This window comes from Homo sapiens, chromosome 18, assembly GCF_000001405.40.
Source record: "Homo sapiens chromosome 18, GRCh38.p14 Primary Assembly".
Lineage (NCBI taxonomy): Eukaryota > Metazoa > Chordata > Mammalia > Primates > Hominidae > Homo > Homo sapiens.
This window is the reverse complement of record NC_000018.10, coordinates 79,125,352-79,152,026: the sequence shown is the minus strand read 5'-3', so window position 1 is coordinate 79,152,026 and position 26,675 is coordinate 79,125,352. Positions and strand designations below refer to the sequence as shown.

The 26,675-nt window shown below is 39.7% G+C and overlaps 2 protein-coding genes across 33 annotated transcripts in view, besides 2 other annotated features; both read right to left on the bottom strand.

The window, feature by feature from the left end:
- The window catches only part of ATP9B (ATPase phospholipid transporting 9B (putative)), a 308,890-nt gene that overhangs the window by 226,257 nt on the left and 55,958 nt on the right, over positions 1–26,675 (bottom strand). For 31 of the 32 annotated variants that reach the window (NR_148360.2, XM_017025726.2, XM_011525963.3 and 28 more), the window contains 2 exons: positions 25,652–25,760; positions 8,167–8,225 (listed from right to left, as the gene is read on the bottom strand). Coding sequence is in view for 30 of the 32 variants with exons in the window: in XM_017025726.2 (XP_016881215.1) it covers positions 8,167–8,225; positions 25,652–25,760 (168 nt within the window). In the remaining 2 variants the exon portion in view is untranslated. Of the gene's footprint in view, positions 1–8,166; positions 8,226–25,651; positions 25,761–26,675 lie in introns of those variants that run through there. The other variant, XM_011525972.3, reaches the window with a different exon arrangement.
- Positions 4,180–8,160, bottom strand: LOC124904331 (uncharacterized). The gene has a single exon (XM_047437988.1). It carries the CDS (start codon positions 7,000–7,002, stop codon positions 5,278–5,280), a length of 1,725 nt encoding a protein of 574 aa, XP_047293944.1. The 5' UTR covers positions 7,003–8,160; the 3' UTR covers positions 4,180–5,277.
- Positions 5,890–6,396: an enhancer, noted in NCBI's record as "H3K27ac-H3K4me1 hESC enhancer chr18:76905631-76906137 (GRCh37/hg19 assembly coordinates)". NCBI's record gives its function as "activates a minimal SCP1, AML or CMV promoter by ChIP-STARR-seq in primed H9 embryonic stem cells {active_cell/tissue: H9 hESC(primed)}" and the evidence as "EXISTENCE:reporter gene assay evidence [ECO:0000049][PMID:30033119]".
- Positions 6,397–6,905: an enhancer, noted in NCBI's record as "H3K27ac-H3K4me1 hESC enhancer chr18:76905122-76905630 (GRCh37/hg19 assembly coordinates)". NCBI's record gives its function as "activates a minimal SCP1, AML or CMV promoter by ChIP-STARR-seq in primed H9 embryonic stem cells {active_cell/tissue: H9 hESC(primed)}" and the evidence as "EXISTENCE:reporter gene assay evidence [ECO:0000049][PMID:30033119]".

The following is a 26,675-nucleotide window of genomic DNA, read 5'->3' as shown; positions in this document are numbered from 1 at the left end:
CTGTTCATATCCTTTGCCCACTTTTTGATGGGGTTGTTTTATTTCTTGTAAATTTGTTTAAGTTCTTTGTAGATTCTGGATATTGGCCCTCTGTCAGATGGACAGATTGCAAAAATTTTCTCCCATTCTGTAGGTTGCCTGCTCACTCTGGGTTTAGGGGAGGGATAGCAACAGAAGAAATACCTAATGTAGACGACGGGTTGATGGGTGCAGCAAACCACCATGGCATGTGTATACCTATGTAACAAACTTGCACGTTCTGCACATGTATCCCAGAACTTCATAAAAAAAAAAAAAAACACTTCTACATACATATCAGAAATGCTAATTTTAAAAGGCTGAAAATGCACATGCTGGCAAACATGCCAAGGCACGCTGATTGGAGTAGAATTTGGTACACCACTTTGCAAAACCACGTGCAGGGTCTACCATAGCGGAACTGCATAACCCAAAACACAGCAGCTCCACTCCTAGGCACACCTGCAACAGCAATGTGTGGATGTATGCACCAAGAAATATAGTCAAATATGACACAAAAGTATCCTTCATGATGGGCAAAACTTAGATGTAACCTAAAAACCCATCGACAGGAAAACAGATAAAAACCACACTATATAACACCCAAATGGGTGGGTAACAACCACACAACAACATGGATGTATCTCATAAAGAACATGGGGCCAAAAAAGCACCTGCCCAAACACACTCCCACCTCGGTAAATTTTCTAGGCACTCTTGCCAAAAATCAATTAACCATAAATTTCTGAGTTTATTTCTGGATTCTCAATGTAATGCTAGTTCCTGTAAATGCTGATTACTGTAAATCTGCATTAAGTTTTGAAATAGTGAAATGCGAGTATTCAAAGTTTGTCCATCTTTTTCAAAATTGTTTTGGCCATTCTGGGTCACTTCAATGTCCCTATGAATTTCAGAATCAGCCTGTCAATTTCTGCAAAGACATCAACTGGGATTTTGAGAGGGGTAACACTGAATCTACAGATCAATTTAGGGAACACTGCCTTTTGAATAACATACTTCTAACCATGGGCATGAACTGTCTTACATTTACTTTGGTCTCTTTAATACGTTTCAACAATGATCATGGCTCACTGCAGCCTTGAATTCCCGGGCCCAAGCAATCCTCCTCCCTAAGCCTCCCAAGTAGCTAGGACAGCAGATGTATGCCACTGTGCCTGGCTAATTCTTTAAATTTTGGTCTATGTTGTCCAGGCTCGTCTCAAATTCCTAGTTTTATGTGATCCTCTCGCCTTGGCCTCCCAAAGTGCTGGGATTACAGGTATGAATCATCATGCCCGGCCTTTAAAAGTATTTTTAAAAATGTCATATTCAGACTCTTTATGTCCTTATTCTGTCTTATTTTCTATGGAGTACTCATAAACAAACTAGATAATTTCAAATAATTATGGACACTTTTTGTTTCTTTTTGCTTCCCCTCAAAACTAGGGGCACCACAAGAGCAAGGAGCCCTGTGTTCTCCTAACACCACATGCCACGGTGTGAACGCACAGCTACTTCTCTGACCAGTCACCCACCTGGGATATATGGACTTTCTGGAATTGAGCTACTGTGAATAATGTAGATACAGACATTCCTGCACAGGTTTTTTTGAATCAACATAATTTAACATTTCTCTGTGATAAACGTCCAGGAGTGCAACTGTTGGGTAGTATGATAGTTACAGTTTTTTTTTTTAAGAAACTATCCAGCGATTTTCCAGGATAACTGTATTATTTGTATTTCCACAAGCAATATACAAGTGATCCGCTTCTTCACATTGTTTCCAATATTTGGTATTGTCACCATTTTTTCATTTTAGCTGTTCTGATAGATGCATACTGATATTTCATTGTGTTTTAATTTGCATTTCCTGATGACTAATGATGTTGAATTCCTGCTCATGTGTTTATTTTTATTTTTTTATTTTTTGAGATACAGTCTTGCTCTGTCACCAGGCTGGAGTGCAGTGGCGCAATCTTGGCTCACTGCAACCTCTGCCTCCCGGGTTCTAGCGATTCTCCTGCCTCAGCCTCCCAAGTAGCTAGGACTATAGGTGCACACTACCACACCCAACTAATTTTTATATTTTCAGTAGAGATAGGGATTCACCATGTTGGCGAAGATGGTCTTGATCTCTTGACCTTGTGATCCGTCCCCTTCGACCTCCCAAAGTGCTGGGATTACAGGTGTGAGCCACTGTGCCTGGCCCATGTGTTTATTTTCTATCTGTAAATCTTTGTCAAAATGTCTCTTGAAATCTTTTGCTCATTTTCTAATTTCAAATTTTTTTTTTTTTTACTGTTAAGTTTTAGGAGTTTTTATATATTCTAGACAGAAATCTTTGTTGAATATATGGTTTACAAATATTTTCTCCATCTGTAGCTTTTCATTGTATTCACATGGTTTTCACAAGGCACACATTTTTAATTTTAATGATATGCAATTTATCAATTTTTCCTTTTACACATTGTCCTTTTGGTATCAAGTCTAAGAAATATTTTCCTATTCCTAGATTCTAAATATTTTTTTTTTCTAAAAGTTTTGCAGTTTCACATTTTACATTAAGTCCATGATCTTTTTTTTTAAACCTCAGGATGCCCAGCGCCATTTGAGAAGGCTACCTTTTCTCCACTTAATTGTTTTCACACCTTTGTCTAATTCTGGTTTCTCTATAATGTTTTGTTAACCTTTGTTTCTATCCTTCTTCCACACTATGTTGACTAATGTAACTACGCAATATGCCTTCACATCAAGGGTGATTCCTCTCACTTTATTTTCCTTGTCAAAGTTGGTTTAGCTGTTCTACACCTGTGCCTTTCCGAATTAGTTTTAGAGTAAGATGATCTATGTCTTTAAAAATAAGAAGAAAAAAACCCTGCTGAGACTTTGATAGGAATGGTATTAAGTGTACAAAACAATTTTGGGAAAACTGGAATGCAGAATGCTCCAATCGAAAAGAGATGGGTCTATTTACTTATGTTTTCTTAGATTACTTTTATCAACACATTGTAAGTTTCAGCATAGATTTCATTTTCATAGCAATGACTGTAAGAGTACTGCATTTTTAATTTCTGTGCCCACATTTTCATTATTATATAAAAATGAGGTTCATATTTGTGCATCAATCTTATAACTTGACACGATGTTGAACTCACTAGTTCCAGGAGATTTTCTATAGATCCGTTGGGGTTTTCAACATATATGTATATGTATTTATGTACATGTATACGTAGTTATGTCATCTGCAAATTGAGACATTTTTATTTCTTTTCTAATCCATCTTTTATTTTCTTGCCTTACAGACTAGAAGTGCCATTGAGTAACAGTAACAGCAAACATCCTTGTCGCCAGTCTCAGAGAGGAGGCATTCAGTCTTACACCATTAAGTATTTTATAGATTCTTTTTAAACAAGATATTGTTACTGTCCCTCTAATCCAACCTGCTCAGAGTTTTTATCATGAATGAGTGTTGGGTTAAGTCAAATGGTCTTCCTGCAACAACTGATTGTGTGATTTTTCTTTATTCTGTTGATAGCGTAGATTACACTGCTTGATTTTAGAATGCTGAACCACATTTACACACCTGGAATAACCTGTACTGGGTTGTGATGTATTACTCTTCTTTATATACTGCTGATACCAACTGGGCTGCAGTTTTCTTTTATTGTACTTTTTTCTGGTACTGAGATAAAGATATTCTTGACCTCATAAAATGAGTTGGGTAGTGTACCATTCTCAATTATTTTCTGAAAATAACTGTGCAAAGTTGATGCTAAGTCTTCTGTAATGGTTTTAAGGAATTCTCCTGGACCTAGGTATTTCCTTCCTAGAGCTTTAAATTACTAATTCAGCTTCTTTATTGGCTACAGGACTACTGATATTGTCTATTTCATTTTGACTGAGTTCTTATACTTTATGGTTTCAGAAGAATTTGTCCATTTCTTCTATTTATGAGCATCAAGGTGTTTGTAGTATTTCATAACTGTCTTTTTAATGGCTGCAGGATCTATAGTGAAAGCCCCTATTTCATTACTAATACTGGTGATTTGTGACATCACTTTTTATTTTGATCAGTCTTCCTTGCTAAAGGTCTATCAATTTTATTAACTTATTTAGAAGAACCAGCTTTTGTATTGATTGATTTTCTATCTTGTCTTCCTATTTTCCATTTTACTGACTTCTACTTGTATCTTTATTATTCCCTTCCTTCTGCTTGCCTTGGTTTAACTTTGCTGTCTTCTCCTAATTTCTTGCAGTAGGGGTTTAGATTACTGACCCAAGACCTCTGCTTGTTTCCCCACAGGAGTTTCATGCTACAGAATTCCTCCCAGCAGTGCCCTTACACGCATCCCACTTATTCCAGAATGCAGAATTTTCACTTTTATTCAGCTGTATGTATTGTTTCCTTGAGACTACCTATCCTATAAATTAATTCAAAGTGTGCTGTTCACTTTCCACGTTTTAGAGTTTTCCTGCTGCCTTGGTTACTGATTTTTAACAATTCTATTACAGTGAGAGAACACACTCTGTGTGATTTCAATTCTTTTCAATTTGTTGAGGTTTATGGTACAGAAAATGGCTTATCTTGGTGAATGTTCTATAGACACTTGAAATAAATGTGTTCTCTCCTACTGACAGGTACGGTGGTCTATGCATGCTAGGCAACTCCTGCTGCCTATGCAAATCTTCCACATCACTGCGGAGCGTCTATCCCCTACTTTTATCCAATGCCTGAAGGGTGGTGCTGAAGTAACCACTTGTAACTGGACTTGCCTACTTTTTTCAGCTCTGACACTTGTTGATTCACGAATTTTATGGAACTGTTGTTTGGTGAGTAACAATTTATGATCATTGTATCTTCCTGATGGATTAATCCTATTATTGTTGTATAACATCTCTTTTTGTCTGTGTTAATTTTCTTCACTCTGAAGTACACTTTCTTGGACATTAACATAGCTCCTACTACTTTTGTTTAATTTTACATTGTATCTATTTTTCTATCCTTTTACTTTCATCCTATCTATGTCACTGTATTTGAAGAGACTTTCGTGCACACAACATAGAAATGCGTCTTGGTTTTTTTGTTTTTTATCCATTCTGTCTCGTATTTAGACCATTAGAACGTACGTCTGCATTTTATTATTTGTTTTCAGTTGGTTTCCTCTGATATGTGTTCCTGGGTTTCCAATTTCTTCCTTCTTGTGTGTGACCTGAGCCCTTTTTACTCACACAGTCATGGAAGTAGGCAGATGAGAGCACTTAGGAACGAACTCCCTTAACACAGACACAGGTGTCCTGCGTACTCACGTGGTCAGGGATGAGACAGATGAGAACACTCCGAATGCACTCCCCCGATATGCAGCATGGACCTTCAGTCACTCTGCACACCGCCAGCTCCCCCGACACGCAGCATGGACCTTCAGTCACTCTGCACACCGCCAGCTCCCCCGACATGCAGCTTGCACCTTCAGTCACTGTGCACACCGCCAGCTCCCCCGACATGCAGCCTGCACCTTCAGTCACTCTCCACACCGCCAGCTCCCCCGACATGCAGCCTGCACCTTCGGTCACTCTCCACACCGCCAGCTCCCCCGACATGCAGCCTGCACCTTCAGTCACTCTCCACACCGCCGGCTCCCCCGACATGCAGCGTGCACCTTCAGTCACTCTGCACACCGCCAGCTCCCCCGACATGCAGCTTGCACCTTCAGTCACTGTGCACACCGCCAGCTCCCCCGACATGCAGCCCGCACCTTCAGTCACTCTGCACACCGCCAGCTCCCCCGACATGCAGCCCGCACCTTCAGTCACTCTGCACACCGCCAGCTCCCCCGACATGCAGCCCGCACCTTCAGTCACTCTGCACACCGCCAGCTCCCCCGACATGCAGCCCGCACCTTCAGTCACTCTGCACACTGCCAGCTCCCCCGACATGCAGCCCGCACCTTCAGTCACTCTGCACACCGCCAGCTCCCCCGACATGCAGCTTGCACCTTCAGTCACTCTCCACACCGGCAGCTCCCCTGACATGCAGCTTGCACCTTCAGTCACTCTGCACACCGCCAGCTCCCCCGACATGCAGCCTGCACCTTCAGTCACTCTCCACACCGCCAGCTCCCCCGACATGCAGCCTGCACCTTCAGTCACTCTGCACACCGCCAGCTCCCCCGACATGCAGCCTGCACCTTCAGTCACTCTCCACACCGCCAGCTCCCCCGACATGCAGCCTGCACCTTCAGTCACTCTGCACACCGTCAGCTCCCCCGACATGCAGCCTGCACCTTCAGTCACTCTGCACACCGCCAGCTCCCCCGACATGCAGCCTGCACCTTCAGTCACTCTGCACACCGCCAGCTCCCCCGACATGCAGCCTGCACCTTCAGTCACTCTGCACACCGCCAGCTCCCCCGACATGCAGCCTGCACCTTCAGTCACTCTCCACACCGGCAGCTCCCCTGACATGCAGCTTGCACCTTCAGTCACTCTGCACACCGCCAGCTCCCCCGACATGCAGCCTGCACCTTCAGTCACTCTGCACACCGCCAGCAGCCCCGACATGCAGCCTGCACCTTCAGTCACTCTGCACACCGCCAGCTCCCCCGACATGCAGCTTGCACCTTCAGTCACTCTGCACACCGCCAGCTCCCCCGACATGCAGCCTGCACCTTCAGTCACTCTGCACACCGCCAGCAACCCCGACATGCAGCCTGGACCTTCAGTCACTCTGCACACCGCCAGCTCCCCCGACATGCAGCTTGCACCTTCAGTCACTCTCCACACTGCCAGCTCCCCCGACATGCAGCTTGCACCTTCAGTCACTCTGCACACCGCCAGCTCCGACATGCAGCCTGCACCTTCAGTCACTCTGCACACCGCCGGCTCCCCCGACATGCAGCTTGCACCTTCAGTCACTCTCCACACCGCCAGCTCCGACATGCAGCTTGCACCTTCAGTCACTCTGCACACCGCCAGCTCCCCCGACATGCAGCTTGCACCTTCAGTCACTCTCCACACCGCCAGCAGCCCTGACAATCTCCACGTTGGACCTTTGATGTTTTTCTTATAGCTTCTTCGTACACTGATCTAAACTTCTTCTTTTGTAATGCTTTTACTTCTATTCACTTTTCCCTCTTAAATTTTTTAACTGTATGAATTATATCCAATAATTATGTGTAATATAACTACAGCTGGCCCTCTGTATCCACGGGTTCCATAGATGGGGATTCAACCAAGCATTGAGAGAAAATATTCAGAAAAAAAATAAAAATAAGAATAAAACAAAAATAAAAAAAGACAGTATAACTATTTAGATAGCATTTGCATTGTATTAAGTACTATAAATCAACTAGAGATGATTTAAAGCAGAGGTCCCTAACCCCGGGCCTTTCAAGAATGGCGCTGCACAGCAGGAGGGGAGGGGAGGGCAAGCGAGCATGACCTCCTGAGCTCCGCCTCCTGTCAGATCAGCAGCAGCATTAGATTCTCACAGGAGCAAGAGCCCTATTGTGAACTGCACACGCAAGGGACCTAGGTTGCACACTCCTCATGAGAATCTAATGCCTGATGATCTGAGGTGGAACAGTTTCATCCCAAAACCAAGCCCACTGAACCTTGGTCCATGGAAAAATTGTCTTCCATAAAACTGGTTCCTGGTGCTGAAAAGGTTGGGGACCACTAATTTAAAGCATACAGAGGATTTATTGATGCATAGACTATTCAATTTTATATAAGAAATTTCAGCATCTGTGGATTTTGGTATCCTTGGTGGGGTCCTGGAACTACCCTCTCATGGATATTGAGGGATGATTATCCCTGTAGGAGGAAGTTCTGAAAACTGAAGCACAGTATTATGAACAGGTTTGAATACAATTCTGTGATGATATAAAATAATCTTGATAATGCAACATTAAGCAGTTAACCATCTTATTTCAGAAAAAATATGACTTTGCCTGCACACACTGAAATATACTTTAGCAAAACAATATACAAAAATCTAGATTTTTCTTCACATACAACAAATCTTACACAAGGATATTATGATTCAAAATACATGTCTCAATTTCTTTCAAATTCAGAAGTTACTTATAATCAGGCTAAACATTAATAACTAGCATACATAGGTCTAAAATATATTAAAAAATCATCAACCTTTTCCACTATGATGAGGTCTCCAACTTGTATGTCTGAACTCTTAACTTGCACTTTACCTTAAAAAAAGAAGAAGTACAGTCAACTCAAGGAAACAACAGCACACCCAAGTTCAACTTTCAATTAAAAAATAATTACTTTAGAAATAAGCTACAGAAAAAAAAACTTTAGAAATTTCCCTATACTTGTACTTTCAGACAGTCACTAATAATTAACTTCTCTTAGTAAACTGCCAAACACAAATAATTTTTTATCTCCCAATAAAAACAGAGGGAGAATTTCTTCGTAGTAATTTAAAAGGGGACTACACTCAGAAGATTATTCCCATGTTTTGTAATTGTTTCAGTTCCAAGTCAACAATGATCAGAAATATTACTAAATGATCTCAGCATTAAAACTTAACACAGAGATGTAAAAATCCTTAAGTTAATATCATAAATGGCATTAATTAGCACATAACTGACCAAAAAAGAAATAAAGCAAATTATATGTAAAATCACCCTCTATCAATAGCTTTACCAACACAGGAGAAGAGTGAAAAAGTTATATCTAAAACTTTATTACTAAAAGTGATTTCTCTATGTGAATAAATTCTTATCTACGAAACATCTAATGTAGAATAGTCGTTGACAAAGTTTCATATATACTTAAATATCATGTATAATATGATGTAGAGTAGATGAATGTTGCACCCATAATTTGAGACACACGTAACAAAACAGGCAAATTCATTCCCTCCCTTCCTCCCTTTCTGTCTGTCTCTGCCCCTCTTTCTCTTCCTGGGCCTCTCCCAACCTCTTTCCCTCACTTCCTCACTCTCTCCCTGTCTCACTCTCTTTTAAGACTAGCAATGGCCTTGTGTGTTAATTTTTACATTTTTGTAATTACTGTCCTAACAAGGGAAAATGTTCCTTCCTTTTACATTCAGTTTATGTTGACAGCTATCAAAAACTAACATCACACTCGTTACACTGACTTTTAGACCCATATCCAACTTATTAAAAGATCGTATTTCCCAAATACCTCTTAAAGCAGCTGTATTTCAGTAGTATCACACTGTTCCTAAAGATTTGGATATATCAAAACTTTTATATGCATTATGTTGTAGTTTTTTCTACATGCCTCAATTATACAAGCCAATAAGGGCTGAAGCTATTTTTATTTATATTATAAAATAGCAATGGTCTTTAGAATTACGTGTGAAACAAATCTTAACTGAGCTTTAAAATCATTAATTGTAATAAAATGTCCACTTTAATTCCTATGAGCATTAGGAGCTTCAGGCCTCCTCCCCCACTGCTATGCTTTTCACAGCAAAGCATCCGGCAGTAGAGATGCCCCACTGACCTAAAGTTCCTACTTCATCATCTAATTTCACCCTCTCTCCTAGCTATCCAATTCACCCTTCTTTCCTTCTATTTTTTTCACATTCTCTGTAATCAACACATCTTAAAAGGAGAGAAAAAGAAACACTACAGTCATAACACATAATACAGTAAATAACTTTAAAACATTTTGAATAGAAAACATATCCTTTCTGACTCTGTAATTAAGATCTAACATTTCTGAGAGATTTATTATTCTGTAGCACGGTAAGAGAGTTAACATATTTAATAGCCTTTAATTCTCAGGCATTATATAGTGATCACGATTAATTTCTATGGAAATTACCTTCAATTACATGTTTAACGAAAAAAGTTTATGATCAAATACAGCATAAAAAGTTCTCAAAATGCTATTACACAATGAACAAAGTATTAGAAAGCTAAACAGAGTACAGTAACAAAATAGTATGACCACCTGCCTTATATATCTGCTCAAAGTACACATATCTAAATTTTGAAGAAATGATCATATTGTTATCAAGTCCTAGCTTCTTAAATAACTTATTTGCTGTCCTCTTTGCCAAAGAACATTTAAGGCACTGGACAGAGAACACAGGGGAGGAAAGTTACCCGCTTTCACACACCTGTCCACCAGTGAAGGTCCAGCATGAATTACTTTTTCTGCCACATTCTAACAGCCTACACTTACATTAAATATTTGATTTCTGGCTAACACTTTGTTGACGGAGCTGACAACTGATCCTAGTAATATACTAATATCAGATTTGAGAGAGGCTGGTAAAAACAGAAAAATCTCCCAATTTTAAGAGTCACTGGGCACATATAAAACACACAACTGTCACCTGGCCTCAATAATCTTACAGAGCAATCGACGACACAAAGTGTTTAGGAAATGGACACTCAGAATTTAATAATCTCAGAGTTGCACTTGATAGAGAAGGAAGCTCTAATACAGTAGCAAAGACATTTCAATGTAAATGCTAGTATTTAAATCTAATGACATATTTTTTTCTTAAAACTATCCTATTCAATATACTATCAAGTGCACACTCAGTAAGTCGTGTATTATCAGCTTTTTGTTTTTTAATGAACTAGTTAATAGTGACCAAGTATATTAGTCTGTTCTCACCCTACTAATACAGACAGACCCAAAACTGGGTAATTTATAAAGGAAAGAGGTTTCATTGCCTCACAGGTCAGCATAACTGGGGAGGCCTTGGAAAACTTACAATCAATAATGGTGAAGGGAAAGCAAACACGTCCTTCTTCACATGGTGGCAGCAATGAGAAGTGCCGAGCAAAGGGAGAAAAGCCCCTTATAAAACCATCAGATCTCGTGAGAACTCACCCACTATCACAACAGCATGGGGGTAACCACTCCCATGATTCAATTACTTCCCACTGGGTCCCTCCCATGACACATGGGGATTATGGGAACTACAATTCAAGATGAGATTTGGGTGGGGACACAGCCAAACGGTATCGCCAAGTAAGGTAACAACAGTACTTTCCACTCTCTAAACTATTTCAATTAAATATTTCCACTAAATCTTTCTAGCAATAAATGTTCCCTTCCATTATTTTTCAGAAACATAATAGCACAAGTGGGTTTTTCCTCATAGAGGAAAAGCATTCATCTCACTTGTTCCCATGAACAACAAATTATATGGGCTCCTCTGAGAAAGATCCAAATGTATACCAAATAACTACCTACTCTTTTTTTTGCTGCTGTTTGAGATGGAGTTTCACTCTTGTTGCCCAGGCTGGAGTGCAGTGGTGCGATTTCGACTCACTGCAACCTCCGCCTCCAGGGTTCAAGTGATTCTCCTGCCTCAGCCTCCCAAGTAGCTGGATTACAAGCACCCGCCACCATGCCCGGCTAATTTTTTTTTTTGTATTTTTAGTAGAGACAGGGTTTTGCCATGTGGGCCAGGCTTGTCTTGAACTCCTGACCTCAGATGATCCACCTGCCTTGGCCTCCCAAAGTGCTGGGATTACAGGCATGAGCCACCGTGCCTGGCCATAACCACCTGTTCTTATACCAATGCTTCTTAAACATATAACCTGCCCACCAACCCCACTACCAGTCATTAATTTCTGCCCGTGTAAAGAAAATATAATACTATAATTTCCCTAATTCCAAATGAATGAGTTGAAAAAAACTAAAGAAATTCCCCCCCAAAAAATTCCATTCGATGATAATTATTTAGAAGATAATCATATTTGTATCAAAAAATATAAGTTCCTCAAAATGGACCCTAAGTTAGCTGCCAGGCTTTACCAGCTGGCTCCTCCATCTCTGTCGGCCCCTGCTCTACCTCACCGGGAACCTCGTCCCTCCACTTACTCGCAGAAGCTCCCAGCACTTGCTCCCTTGGATTGAAATCCCTCCCTTCCCAGACTTAATGACACAGCAAGTCTAACCTCTGTGAAGCTTTTAATAACCCACATTAACACCAGTAATATTTTATATATACCTGTAAATAATGTGCTTAAAATGCTATCAATATTTAAATATCTGAGTATCCACTAAATTTCAGATCCTACGATAGGTTTAAAGGGTAACTGAAATATACTTTTATGACATGTAGTTTCTTCTTTCCAAATGCATATCCAAAATTTACCCATAGTAAATTAAACTCATGGAGACAGAGAGTAGAAGGGTGATTACCAGAGGCTGGGAAGGTTAGTGGGAGTTGTGGGGGGAAGCGAGGATGGTTAATAGGTATGAAAAATAGAAAGAATGAATAAGACAATATTTGCTAGAGCAACAAAGTGACTACAGTCAAAAATACTTGTACATTTTAAAACAACTAAAAGAGTGTAAGTGGACTGTTTGTAACACAAAGGATACCTGCTTGAGGGGATGGATACCCCATTTACCCTGATGTGATTATTACCCATTGAATGCCTGCATCAAAATATCTCATGTAGCCCACAAATATATATACCTACTATGTACTCACAAAAATTTAAAAGATAAAAATGAAAACAAAATAAAATACAGCCACTTTGGGGAAAACAAGATGATAATGGAGCTGAAAAATTCTTACTGTCCCAGTGATGTAGTAGCTGACGTGCCACCGCAGCACAAGGAGGGAGTCACGTGTTTGTGGTATAAAACATCCTGCTGCAAAACATCCACAGCACTGCAGCTGTGTCAAAGTCTAGCACACTCGATTATGTACTGAACAGACTTGATAATGATAATAAATGACCACATTACTGGTTTGTGGATTTACTATAAAAAATTAACCCATTTTAAAATCAAAGGAACTTACAACCTAAGTAAAATGTCCTAAGTAGTTAAAATGAGTCAATGTCATAACGGATTAAGGCACATAGCAAAGTAAGACCTACTAAACACAAATACTAGCAACTAAGGATAAAAATGTATTTATATCCAAACACACACACACAAGGTATGAGTGATAGATAATTAAGTAACTTTTTAAATTATTTTCTGTCACCCAGTCTGGAGTATAGTGGCACAATCATGGCTCACTGTGGCCTCGATCTCCCTGGCTCGGGTGATCCCCCCACCTCAGCCTCTGGAGTAGATGGGACTACAAGTACGCACCACCACACTCGGCTAATTTTTGTATTTTTTGTAGAGATGAGATTTCACCGTGTTCCCAGACTGGTCTCAAACTCCTGAGCTCAAGCAATCCACCCACATCAGTCTATGAATACGGCAGGAGCCACCACACCCGGCCAATACTGGTTTTTTTTTTTTTTTTAATGTAAGAACAACAATAATGAACAGAAGGTTCTAATACTTCTAGTAATTAATCATTACATCTTAATATCCATCCATTAAAGTGAAATAAAGTATAACTTACTTTTCTATAAACAAATTTAGTTGAGATGATAGTTTACCACCTCACAAGTAAACTAAATGAATATGCTGATCAAAGTAAACAAAACTTAGATCTCTAAGATCTTCAACTGCAAAAGCAGGTAGACTCATTGCCAAATTACTCACATCCATGTATCTCTGTAGAGTTTGAGGCATATCGTTTAAGTAAGTAAATGGGATGTGCCAAAGCCCTAAGCAGGTACACAATAAACATTTCGTGATGAAGTGGCTGAGTGAACAAACTAGGATTCCTCTCCATTCTGCTTGCAAAGGTGTGTGAAATGTAAGTCAAAAACACTGAGGTCCAGGCTGGAGCTTTCTCATGTAAAACTGTGTCACTTGAGCATATTAGTTTCTTTGCAGGCCACAACATCCACATATTTCATATAAACGTTCCTAAAAATAATTCCAATAAACTGAGTTGAACAAAATTACTGCTATCTTCTAGCTAATTCTAAAATTTCTTACCTAATAAACATAAATACTGGTAAAAATTCTAGTTGAACAAAAAGTTACAATTTATCTTATGATGTAGATGGCATTACTACTCTAGGCTGTAAAACACTCCACAGAAGCGAATTCAAATGGATGAATTCCTAAAATGTATTAAAGCACTGAGAACATACTTCAAGAAAGAAGTACAGCAAACCTCCACAAAATCTGAAGACAGTACTTAACCCATTTCCTCAACACCTACTACATTCCAGTTCCTACTGCAGGCACCTGTGCTACATTAGTGACAATGGCACACCTTTAAAGGGTGTATGGCATGCTGGAATGTAGCAGGTGCTATGGAAAAATGAGGGCAGAGCACACGGCCCAGGATGCTGGTGGAGAGCAAAGGTGGGCATCTGTGACTGTTGCAGGGTTAGGAGAGGACGCCTAGAAAAGGAGGCATTGGAGCCAGGAGTCAGGAAACAGTGCGGAGGCCACGAACAGGCATCTAAGAGCATGCAGAGGCTGAAGGAAGGGCCAGGGCAGAGTTCCTGAAGGAGAACATGCCTGCATGCTGAGAAAAACTGAGTGTCCAGAAAGGAAGGCAGTGACGGGGGATATCCAAAAGGAACAGAGAATGCCCATGTTTACAAAGTGCCCTTCGAGCCAGACTGGAGAAGCCCATGACCCACAGAGCACGTCTGGCCTCACGCTGGGGAATAACCAACCCCATGGAGCATGCCCCAGATCTGTCCAATGATGCAACAAAGCAAGGCCTATCCAAGTAGCTGAACAGCATCCCAAACAATACTCAACAATATTTGCAGGAATATAAAAATATCCACCACCCAAAAAGATAAAATTCACAATGTCTGACATCCAATAAAAAATTAATAGGCATGCAAAGAAGCAAGAAGATATGACCCATACGAGGAGAAAAACCATTCAATCAAAACTGACCCACAACTGACACAAATGTTATAATTAGCAGACACGGACATGAAAACAGCTATGAAAACTGTATTCCCAGACCAGAAAGTGAGAGACATGAAGGATACAAAAAAGACCCAAATCAAACTTCCAGACACAAAAACAATGCTTGAGATAAAAAATACAACAAATGAAATTAAAGTATGATATGGTTTGGCTGTGTCTCCACCCAACTCTCATCTTGAATTGTAGTTCCTATACTCCCCACATGTTGTGGGAGGGACCCGGTGGGAGGTAAATGAATCATGGGGCGGTTACCCTCATGCTGTTACCCTTGTGATAGTGAGTGCGTTCTAATGGTTTTGTAAGTGGCTTTTCCCCTTTTTGCACTTCTCCTTGCTGCCACCATGTGAAGAAGGACGTGTTTGCTTCTCCTTCCTCCATGGTTGTAAGTTTCCTGAGGCCTTCCCCAGCCATGCTGAACTGTGAGTCAATTAAACCTCTTTCCTTATAAATTACTCGGTCTTGGGTATGTCTTTATTAGCAGCGTGAGAACAGACTAACACACAATAGAATAGACCTTGTGGAAGGAAAGAACAGTAAATCTGAAGACACAGCAATAGAACTGTGCAAAATAAAACAGAAAAAAGAATTTAAAAGAAAAATTTAAAAACATCAATGAATGTGTCACTACCTCAAACAGTCTAATACAGGTATAACTGGAAACCTTGACACTGGAGAGGGAAGAAAAAATATTTGAAGAAATAAAGGCTAAACACTTTCCATATTTAATGCAACTTATATCCCACAGATTCAAAAAGTTAAATGAATCCCTAGCATAAAAAAATAAAGAAAATTACACCTAGGCACATCATAATCAAATCGCTCAAAACCAGTAACAAAATATTGAAAGCTGAGATAAAAGACAACTAACCCTCAAAAAACAACAAAACACTGCTGAGAAAAAAATTTTAAAGGGGAAGATGTATCTCACACATGGGTCAAAAGATTAAATATTATTAAAATGTCAGTTCTCTGCCAAATGGATTTACAGATTCAATGAAATCCCATTCAAAACTGCAGAAGGCTTTTTTGTAGAAATTGGTAAGCCAAATAATACACTAGTATTAGTTGTATTAATTAGTTGTATTAATAATTAGTTGTATTAATACACTAGTATTAGTTGTTAGATGTAGGCCCTTTGTATTTCCTTAACAAAAACAGCTCTGAAAATGAAGAACAAAGGTGGAAGGCTTGATTTCAAAAATTATAAAGCAACAGTAACCAAAAGAGCATGATGTTTACAGACAGACAAACAGATCAATGGAGCAGAAAGAGGGTCCAGAGATAAACTTACATGAAGAGTTTAAAGGCAATGCAGTAGAGAAAGGATCACTTTTTCAAAAAACAGTACTGACAACGACTGAATGGCCATATGCAAAAAAACACCCATACTCTGCACAGTAGACAAAAATAGACTCAAAATGGATATTCGTAAGTATAATTCCTAAAACTAAAAAAACTTCTAGAAGAAAACAGGAGAAACAGAGCAGAAAGAAACATTTGTAAAACCTGGGTTAGGAAAAGAGTTCTTAGAACAACAAAAGCACAATCATAAATAAAACTGACCAACTGGACTTCTTCAAATAGAAGATCGAAGGGGCTAGGAATGGTAGAAAGGATGCAAAGTCAATAAACTGGAGGTTGAAAACGAACTGAAGTCCAGGCACTAAAGAGAATGAGCCGGAAAGAGGGGCCTAACTGCAGGTGGAGTGGCACTAAGGCTACAGGAGCCAAAACTAGAGCTACCAAAGAGTCTGTTTAGGATGTGGGCCCTCAGAAAAGAGCCACAGTTTAATGAGAGCAAGAAGGCACATTCAGAGAAGAATCCATAGATAGAAAAGCTTCAGGTTATGAAGGGAAAAACAGAACATGAATTCTGGAAGCACAGTGAAACAAGACCAAGGGTAAGAATAAAGATACACAGTATCCCATGGTAATTAAAATGCAGAATCTGAAGGATGACTTGGAGTCTGGGGCTTTTCATGTTAAGTAATATAAAACATAAAATTCATCTTGAGATTAGCTCTGGTGCACATAAGGCCCATACTGTACTCAGGCTGAGAGGCACAGGTTCAGTGGAGCCAGCTCATGTTCTGAGTCCTTGGACAACAAACCTGGTTAAGTCTCAAAGGTCTGGGGAAGAACTCTGCTAACTTTAAACATGGTTTCAAAACAACTGCTGAGCATTTGTGGGGGAAAAAAGAAAAGAAAGATCCCTTCTCCACATAGTATACATCTTAAGTGTAAAATTACAAATGCAGTAAACCTTAACTACAAAAAATGAAAATCCAGAAACACTGTATGAAAACACAATGCTCACTTATATGGGGAATGAGTAGACTTTCCAAGATTAAAGTAAAAATCACAAAAGATCAGGATATTTAAATTATATAAAAATTATACATTACATCCAAGAAAAATGATTTTTTAAAAATAAGTCAAGGTAAAAACATTTGCTACATGTGACAAAGGCAAATTCCTTTTAGTAGAAAAATTGTAATAAGGTAAAAATAGATAAAGAAACAAAAGGTATTAAGTAATTTATAAAAGATCACAAATGAACAATGAAACTTTTTTAACTGGAATGAGTGGGCAAGGAAGGACATTTGTTGGCACAATGGAAACGCAAACTGGTGCCATCTCACAGGGCAGCCCCCTGGCCTTAGACCAGGCTCAGCACTTTCATCTGGATCTGGAACTTCTTTCTTTCTTGACTCCCGCAGTTCACTGAGTGCTCACCACATGCCATGCCAATGACTCTACTTACTCTGGGGGAAACCAGGACCCCAAGCTCACGAAACTGAGAGTCCAGGAATTAAAGTAGTCCTCAGAGTAACGCCACTCCCCACAGGGAGGTACAGGTGCCATGGGATGTATGTGTGGGCTGGGGTGGGGAATAACACTGGAAGAAATCGAGGCAGAACTCTCTAAGATAATCTTTTAATAAAACCTGAAGTTTTGAGTAGGAAGTGGCCAAACAGTACAGGACAGAACAAGAACCACCAGACAGAGTGGCTATTACTTTAAAAGCCAGTCTCTAAGAGGGAAAAGGAGAGGCCTATCCAAAGAACTAAAGGAAAAACCAGTACAACCACACTTCGGAAATCACAGAAGGAGCTGGAGCAGGTGGCCAGAGCCAGGCCACAGGGAGCTGGAGAGTCACATGCGACTCAAGGGTTCTAAGCCATAAAATGGCATCAGATGCACTTTTGGAAAATACTTTTTACTTTGAAAGGAGAGTGCTACCGCAAAGGAAAGATGGAGCAGTATCAGCAGTGAGGAGTCCATTTCCCACTTCGGACAGAAGAGACAGCTGGAGTCAGAGCTGGAGCCAGGCCAGGAGCTGCAGGGCCGCCAGTAAAGTCCCATCAGCCAGGCCCAGCTAAGGGCTGTTCAAAGGCTGCGGGGGGCAGACCTCAGTCCGCTTTAGTGACTAAGAAGTATCTCCCTGGTTAGAAGCACTGGTGAGACCTAGAGGTAGCACACACATCTCAAGTGAAAAGGAAGGATGGAAAGACTTGTAGTTGATATATCATGAAGAAATGAATTCACACAGATCCTCTAAGGGTGACCTGAGAAGAAACAGTGGTAATGAGTTTATGTATCTACTTGAGTGTGTGTGTATGTATGTTTATAACCACTCCTGGATCTATATGGCCACACCTGAGTGTATCTACCCACTTGAGAGTGAGTGTGTGTGTGTGTGTGTGTGTGTGTGTTTATAACCACTCCTGAGTCTATATGGCCACATCTGAGTATATCTACCTTGGTCCAGCCACAGAGAACTAATAATAAAAAATGGAAGGTGTTCATGAAATATCATTACATAGCAGAAATACAGGTTGGTGCAAAAGTAACTGTGGTTTTTGCCATTACTTCCAATGACAAAATTACTTGGTGCAACTATTTTTGCACCAATCTAATACCAGGATGTATACTGAATGTTCCTGAATGAAATACTGGGATGGATCCTTTTCAAATGCTGCTCAGGTGTCAGACCACGGAAACAAAAATGATTTAAGTACACTTCAAGAAAGGCTGGGCATGGTGGCTCACACCTGTAATCCCAGCACTCTGAGAGGCTGAGGCGGGTGCATTATTTGAGGCCAGGAGTTTGAGACCAACCTGGCCAACATGGTGAAACCCTGCCTCTACTAAAAACAAAACAAAACAAAAACAAGCAGTCATAAACAAGAAGAAAGTAAAGTAACAGCAACATACATAGAAAATTCCTACACCCAAAAAAGTTATCAGAAAATAAAACACAAGATAACTCAAAATAATTTCAGTGTGATTGTGATAATATACTGGTTAAAATATTTTCTGCTTCCAAACAAAGCGTATTTATAAGTGGCTTTCCTTTTCAAAAGAAAAAAGTAACAGAGAACATTCTTCCAGTTTACTTCTATAAGAATGTGCTTGAGAACTCCAAAATGACACAGTCCAAATGTTGTAAATATGGTCCAGCAAACTACAGAAAGGCACACAAGGAGGCTGCCATCAATGCCATTCAAAGAGGTAACTGTGAAATACTGGAAACTGAGGAGGAGGTCAACAGAAAATATTCTTAATAAAAAAGTAAATTTTAAACTGTGCTCAATAATAAGCCTAAACTGATGCATTTTTTAATACTACGGATTTTACTCATCAAACATCTGTATCAGAACCACCAGCCATGAAGCAGTGTGCCACAGCTGAAAGAACACTGGATTAGAGTCAGAATGATCTAGGTTCAAGCACCAGCTCTACCTAAAACTACTGTGGCTCAGGGCAAACTATTCACAAACCGCAGCTTTCTCATCTAGAACTCGGAGAGCACATCAACTCCCGCTTGGACGATGCTGGATATGAGAACTCGTACTCTGAATGTTATCTGACACACACAAGGAAGTAAAAAAGTAGCTATCATTATCATTATTGACATGTGAAACTTCTACTTCTTAGATGACCAGCAATGATGGCTAATTTTTCTTAAATGGTAAATTTTCATGTACATTTGAAATAAACATACTGAAAATTATTTTTAAAGTACCTGAAGTTCAAGTATCACAGAAGTACAAAAGACGTAACAGCAGAAGGTCTTCCTCAACATTTTATGCCATTTTTGGGTGAAACGTACGTAACATAAAAAGCCATTTTAAAGTGAACCATTCAGTGGCATTGACTGTATTCACAATGCAGTGCGACCAACTCTATCAAGTCCCAAAACACTTTCATCACCAAAAAAGGAAACCCAATGCCTGTTAGGCAGATGCTTCGTGCTCCCTTCTTCCGCTCATCTATGGCCACCTCCAGTCTGCAGTTTATCTCTACTAATTTACCAATTGTGGATATCTCCTATAGATGAAGTCACACAATATGGGACCTTTTTCATCTGGCTTCTTCCACATAGCATAATGTTTTGAGGTTCATCCAGGTTGTAGCATGTAGCAACCCTTCATGATTTCTATGCCTGAATAAAATTCCATCATAGAAATTTGCTATCCATTCGTTTATCCACTCATCTTTTAGTGAACATCTGGGCTATTATCACCCTTTGGCTATTGTGAATAGTGAATAAACACTAAATAAACACTGGGTCCCTGCTTTAAATTCTTTTTAACTATTTGAGAAACTGACAGTGTGTTTTCCACAGCTGCTGAACCACTTTGTTCCCACAAGCAATGTGCAAAGATTCTAATTTCTCCAGATCCTCTCCAGCACTCGATATTCTATATTTTAAAATTACAGCCAACCTAGTGGTGTATGGTGATGTCTCATAGAGATTTGCACTTCCCTCTGGTCTAAGGCTGTTGACTGACTGTCGTTTCACATGTATGTTGGCCATCTGTATATTTTCTTCGGAGAATTAGAATTGCCTGTCCAGGTCCTTTGCCTATTTTCTAATTGGGTTATCTTTCTAATGTTGAAATTGTAAGAGTTCTTTATGTATCCTGGATACTGGATCCTTATCAGATATACAATTTTCTCTCATTCTTTCTTTTTACATTTTTGATAATGCCCTTAGATGCACGAAAGCGTATTAGCTTTTGTTTATCTGTGAATGTCTTAACAACTTTTTTTTTTTGAGACGGAGTCTTGCTCTTTCGCCCAGGCTGGAGTGCAGTGGCACGATCTCAGCTCATTGCAACCTCTGCCTCCCAGGTTCAAGCGATTCTCCTGCCTCAGCCTCCTGACTAACTGGGATTACAGGTGCATGCCACCATGCCCAGCTCATTTTTGTATTTTTAGTAGAGACAGGGTTTCACCACATTGGCCAGGCTCATCTTGAATGCCTAACCTCAAGTTATCCACCTGCCTCGGCCTCCCAAAGTGCTGAGATTACAGGCATGGGCCACCAGGCCCAGAAAACTTCTTCATTTCTGAATGACAGTTTTACCAGATATAGAATTCTTAACTGACAGGTTTTTTTTCTCTCTCTCTCACCATTTTAAAAATGTCACCCCACTGCCTTCAGACCTCCATGGCTTCTGATAAATCCTACGGAGGGTTCCTTGTGTGTGACCAGTTACTTCTCTCTCTCTCTCTGCTTTCAGGGTGTCCTCTTGGTCTGTGGGTGTCAGCTGCTTGGTTATGTATCTCATTATGGATTTTTCTCGTATTATCCTTCATGTGCTTTGCTGTACTTCCTGAATGTACAGATTAATGTCTTTTATCAAATTTAGAAAGTTTTTGGCCATTATTCCTTCACATATTTTCTCTGTCCTCTCTCTCTCTCCTCGACTTCTTGCATCTCCATCATGTGTATTTGGTACGCTTGATGCTGTCCCACAGGTCTCTTAAGAGCGGTTTTGTTTTTTTTTTCCCATTCTTTCTGCTCCTCAAACTGGATAAATACAACTGACCTAGGCTTAAGTTCACTGTTTCTTTGGTGTGCTCAATTCTGCTACTGAATCCCTCCAGTGAGTGTTCTTTTCACTTACTATACTTTTCAGTGCCAGAATTTGTTTGCTTCCTTTAGATAATTCTCTACTTGCTTCTACATCATTCTGATATCTTTTAAGCAACATCCCCATGGTTTCCTTGAGCGCCCTGGCACATTTAAGACAGCTGATTTAAACTTTTTGTCTCCTAAGTCTGATGTCTGGCTTTCCTCAGGGGCAGTTACTATTACCTTCTTCTGGGAGTGGGCCACATTTTGTTTTGTTGCATGCTTTGTAATGTTTTTTGTAGAAAACTGGACATACGCCGGGTGCAGTGGCTCACACCTGTAATCCCAGCACTTTGGGAGGCCAAGGCAAGTGGATCACCTGAGGTCAGGAGTTTGAGACCAGCCTGGCCAACATGGCGAAACCCCATCTCTACAAAATACAAAAAATAGCCGGGCATGGTGGCGCATGCCTGTAATTCCAGCTACTCAGGAGGCTGAGGCAAAAGAATCACTTGAAGCCGGGGGACGGAGGTTGCAGTGAGCTGAGATCGCACCATTGCACTCCAGCCTGGGCAACAGAGCAAAACTCTGTCTCAAAAAAAAAAAGAAAAAAAGAAAACTGGACATACATTATAATCTGGTAATTCTGGAAATTAGCTATTTCTCCCTCTTCTTGGTTGATTTTATTGTTACATGCTGTAGCTGTGTTTGTCTACTGATTTTTCTACACTATTTTTGTAAAGTGTGTATTCTTTATCATGGATGGTCTCTAAAGTCTCTCTTCCATTCTTATATTCAGCCAGTGTTCTGACAAAGATTTCCTTCAAAATGAAGAGAGAAAAAGGAGGGGCAGGGGGGAGGAGGAAACAAACCCAAACAAAACCTGTCCTGGGCTTTGGAGCCTGGCTCTGTGCGGCAGCCTCACTGAAGATTTAGCCAGGCCATTAACAACTGTGCTGCATCCTTCCCTTCCTTCTTGCACTGAGCCTAGAGACTGGCCAGAGGGAAAGACTTTGGATCTGAGCATTCCTCCAGTTCTTGGCTTGCATGTCGCTTCCAAAATTCCCCAGCATACACAGGGGAATTTTTGAATGCTCAAATTTCCCAAAGAAACTCCCTCCCTAGCTTCTTCTGCCTGGCATTTGACACTCTACTATCTGGCTTGACTGTCATCTTTTGCCCTCTGCTACTACAGGCTATTCATTAGCCTTGCATATGTTTGAGAAATGGCGCTACATTTCTACTTTTCTGCCCTGAGTTCAAGTTAGGTGAAAAAAGACAAGCACCTAGGGTCAACCCTCCAAGCAGTCCCCCGACTGGTTAGAGGCAGAAACAATTATTTGGAATAAGCTGCAAACTGGGAACATGGGCCATTATCTTCAAGATTAGTGCCCTGTTACAGTGTTGGGAGAAGGTGCTGAGATCAGGACAATTGTGGGGAAAAAGCTTTCCAACTGTTTCTAGGTTGACTTTCTCTGGATGCAGCAATTTCCTGGGTGCTGTAAACCTTTGACTTTTCTAGAGGTCTGAAGTAGTTAGTTCTAACAGTTTCTGCTTGATTTTCAATGTTTCTGTGGAAGGGCAGGCATATGGAGCCGCCAACTCTGCCATTTCACTGCCATCACCACTCTAGTTATTTCTGAATAATACAATTAATACACCAGAAAAACATCTCTGCCTAGCCCCTCCATTACAACAATTTTAAAAATCAGATAGATCTATATTATATTCTTACAAAGACAATGCAAAGTTATACACAATTTACCGGGCCATTTGGGGGTTTTTTTCTCCAATACTAAGGCTTACCTTCTTCATCCTTCCTCCACCACACCACCATTCGAGCATCAAAGATTTTTAATAATTTTTCAACTCCATGGAGAAAAAACATTGTTTTCAACAAGTCATACTAGGACAACCTGATATTCATACAAAAGAATATGGACCCACACCTTACCCCATACACAAAATGAATCAAACAACCCAGTTAAAAAGTTGGCAAAAGGGATGGGCGTGGCTCACGCCTGTAATCCCAGCACTTTGGGAAGCCAAGGCGGGTGGATCACGAGGTCAGGAGTTCAAGACCAGCCTGGCCAACATAGTGAAACCCCGTATCGACTAAAAATACAAAAAATCACCCGGGCGCAGTGCAGGCACCTGTAATCCCAGTTTCTCGGGAGGTTGAGGCAGGAGAATCGCCCGAACCCGGGAGGAGGAGGTAGCAGTGAGCAGAGGTTGCGCCACTGCACTCCAGCCTGGGCGACAGAACAAGACTCCGTCTCAAAAAAAAAAAAAAAAAAAAAAAAAGTCGGCAAAGGATCTGAGCAGACATTTATCCAGAAAAGATATACAAACAGCTAATAAGCAAATGAAAAGATGCTCAACATCATTAATCATTAGGAAAATACAAACCAAAACCACAATGAGATACTACTTCACACCCACTATAATCAAAAAGCAGTGGCTGCAATCAAACAGGCAGAGAGTTATGTACAGGTGAGGATGTGGGAAAACTGGAACCCTCATCCATTGCTGGTGGGGATGTAAAATGGTGTGGCCAATTAGGAAAGCAGGTTGGCAATTCTTTAAAATGCTAATCATAGAGTTACCAAATAATCCAGCAATCTCACTCCTAGGTATGTATCCAAGATAAATGAAAACAATATTCACACAAAAGCTTGTACACAAATGTCCATAGCTGCATTATTCACAACGGTCACAAAGTAGAAACAACCCCAAATGTCCACCCACTAATGAATGGATACACAAAATGTGCTCTATCATACACTGGAACATTACTGAGCAGCAAAAGGAAATGAAGTACTGATGAATGCTACTACCAGATGAACCTTGAAAACATGTCCAGTGAAAGCAGCTGGTGACCAAGGACCACACATTGCATAATTCCATTGATATGAAATGTGCAGAGTGGGCAAAACCACAGAGACAGAAAGGAGAACGGCGGCTGCCTGGAGCTGGGGTAGGGTGGGGAGGGAAACAGCAAGAACGACCACTGCCTTCTCATGTATTCAGGGCTCCTTCTGAGAATGTCAAAAGTATGCTAAACTTAAATGACAGTGTTGGTGATGGCTGCACAACTTTATGAATACACCAAAAACACTGAATTGTATACTTTACATGGATAAATTTTATGTTATGTGAAATAGAGCCCAATAAGGTGTTAAAAATAAGTCATTTTTGAAGGTACTATTTCAAGTTAAATAATTCATTGTAAATGTCCTCTTATATACATACAAAAGATAAAAATCCACTGCAAACTTTTTAAACAGACTTTGGGGTTACTATGAATACCCATTCAGTTTTTCAGTGTCTCCCTCATTCCCAAGGTTTTCAGTCACTTTTTTACTATCTTATGCCTACTTGTCATCGTTTCCCCCACTCTCTTCTTAATACATTGCTTCCTTTTGTACTATGGACTGAAAAATCAAATAAACAAGCGCTTGAAGGATGTAAGTTAAGCAAGAGTTAAGGCCCTGAATGAAGGTTAAGGAGAAGTGTGCTTGCATCAGTTATCATCTTGGATCACGATATTTATTTCTGTTGTTCAAAGGCCTCTGTACTTAAGAATAGGTTAATGCCATGGTATAGACATTTGACCTTTATGAGTGTGTTTAAAATACCAAGATAGATTTTAGATGAAGTGACATTATGCCTCTCAGAAAATACGTATATACCAATAGAACACATTACATGATTATTAGTAATACATGTACATGCTTGTGTGGTTGTGTGTGCATTTGTATATATGTGTACACAACATACATCCAAACAGCTAGAGAATGAACAAATATCTACCCTAAAATTGCATTATACATTATAAGGAAATTAATTAGATATCATATACAATCACATAATACTATTTTCAATAATAGAATTAAAATGTTTTCATACATTTGTTATGTTAACTCTAAAATGATAATTACAGTAAGCAAACGCTAAGCAGGATTAAAGCATCTTGCTGACCTCTTACTGTAAGCTTGCTATATAGTTGTGAATTCACTTCCTTGTCACGCTGAAAACGCCGAAATTCATCAATTGCTTCCCGTGTCATAGTAACAGCCAAGACAAATCCCTATAAAACAAAATAAGGTATTTTTAGAAAACTAAACTTTAACAAAAAAGACAAAATTATTTGTTACTTGGTTTAACTTTTTTCCTTCAATTTATATTACTCTCTAAAACATAAAATAAATGAAAACCAAAAAAGTCAAAAAGTAACAATGAAATATTACAAAAGGATTCATTGTAAAAGGTATGCAACTCTTAGTATACTCCCCAAATTTTTAATTCACCTCCTAATAGATACTTCAAGCTAAGTGTCAGAAAATACCTAGTAACCCAAAGAAAAAGAAATTAACAATCTTCAATAAATCCACAAATTATATTTAGAATACTTGGGCATTCAAATACAAAATTTACAATGACTGACATAAAAATCTTACACTTAATTTCTGCACTTAAATTTTTCTTACAGAATAAAAGTATTTAGGAACACAAAACAATTCCCAGATAATCACACATCGATTTTCTTACATAGTGCATTATTATATAACTGCAGTAGAATGAACAATTATAGTGCTTTCATCTCACTTTTTAAGTAAAAATCTGCCTGTATTAATATGATGCTAGCTAGAAAAAAATTTTTATATTCTCATAATTTATTGTGAAGCCCATTATACCACTAATATGAAGCTAATGCCCATCATTTTTAAAGGCTGCATATATATTTTCTGACATGTTACAGGAATATTCTTCAAGTCAATCTCTATTATTAATGATGACCTTGCTTCAGTCAAAACTGTAAATAACAGAACACTGGATGTATGTCCACTGAAAGCACAATAATCTTTTTTATTTCAGTTTTTTGTTTTCTGTATAACCAATAGGCCAAATTAAGTGTGCTGCTGAAGAATGTTTCTTGTATTTACTGAAATGGTATTTTTCTCAAGTGTCCTATTTGAAAACCCCTTCAACAGTCATGACTTAA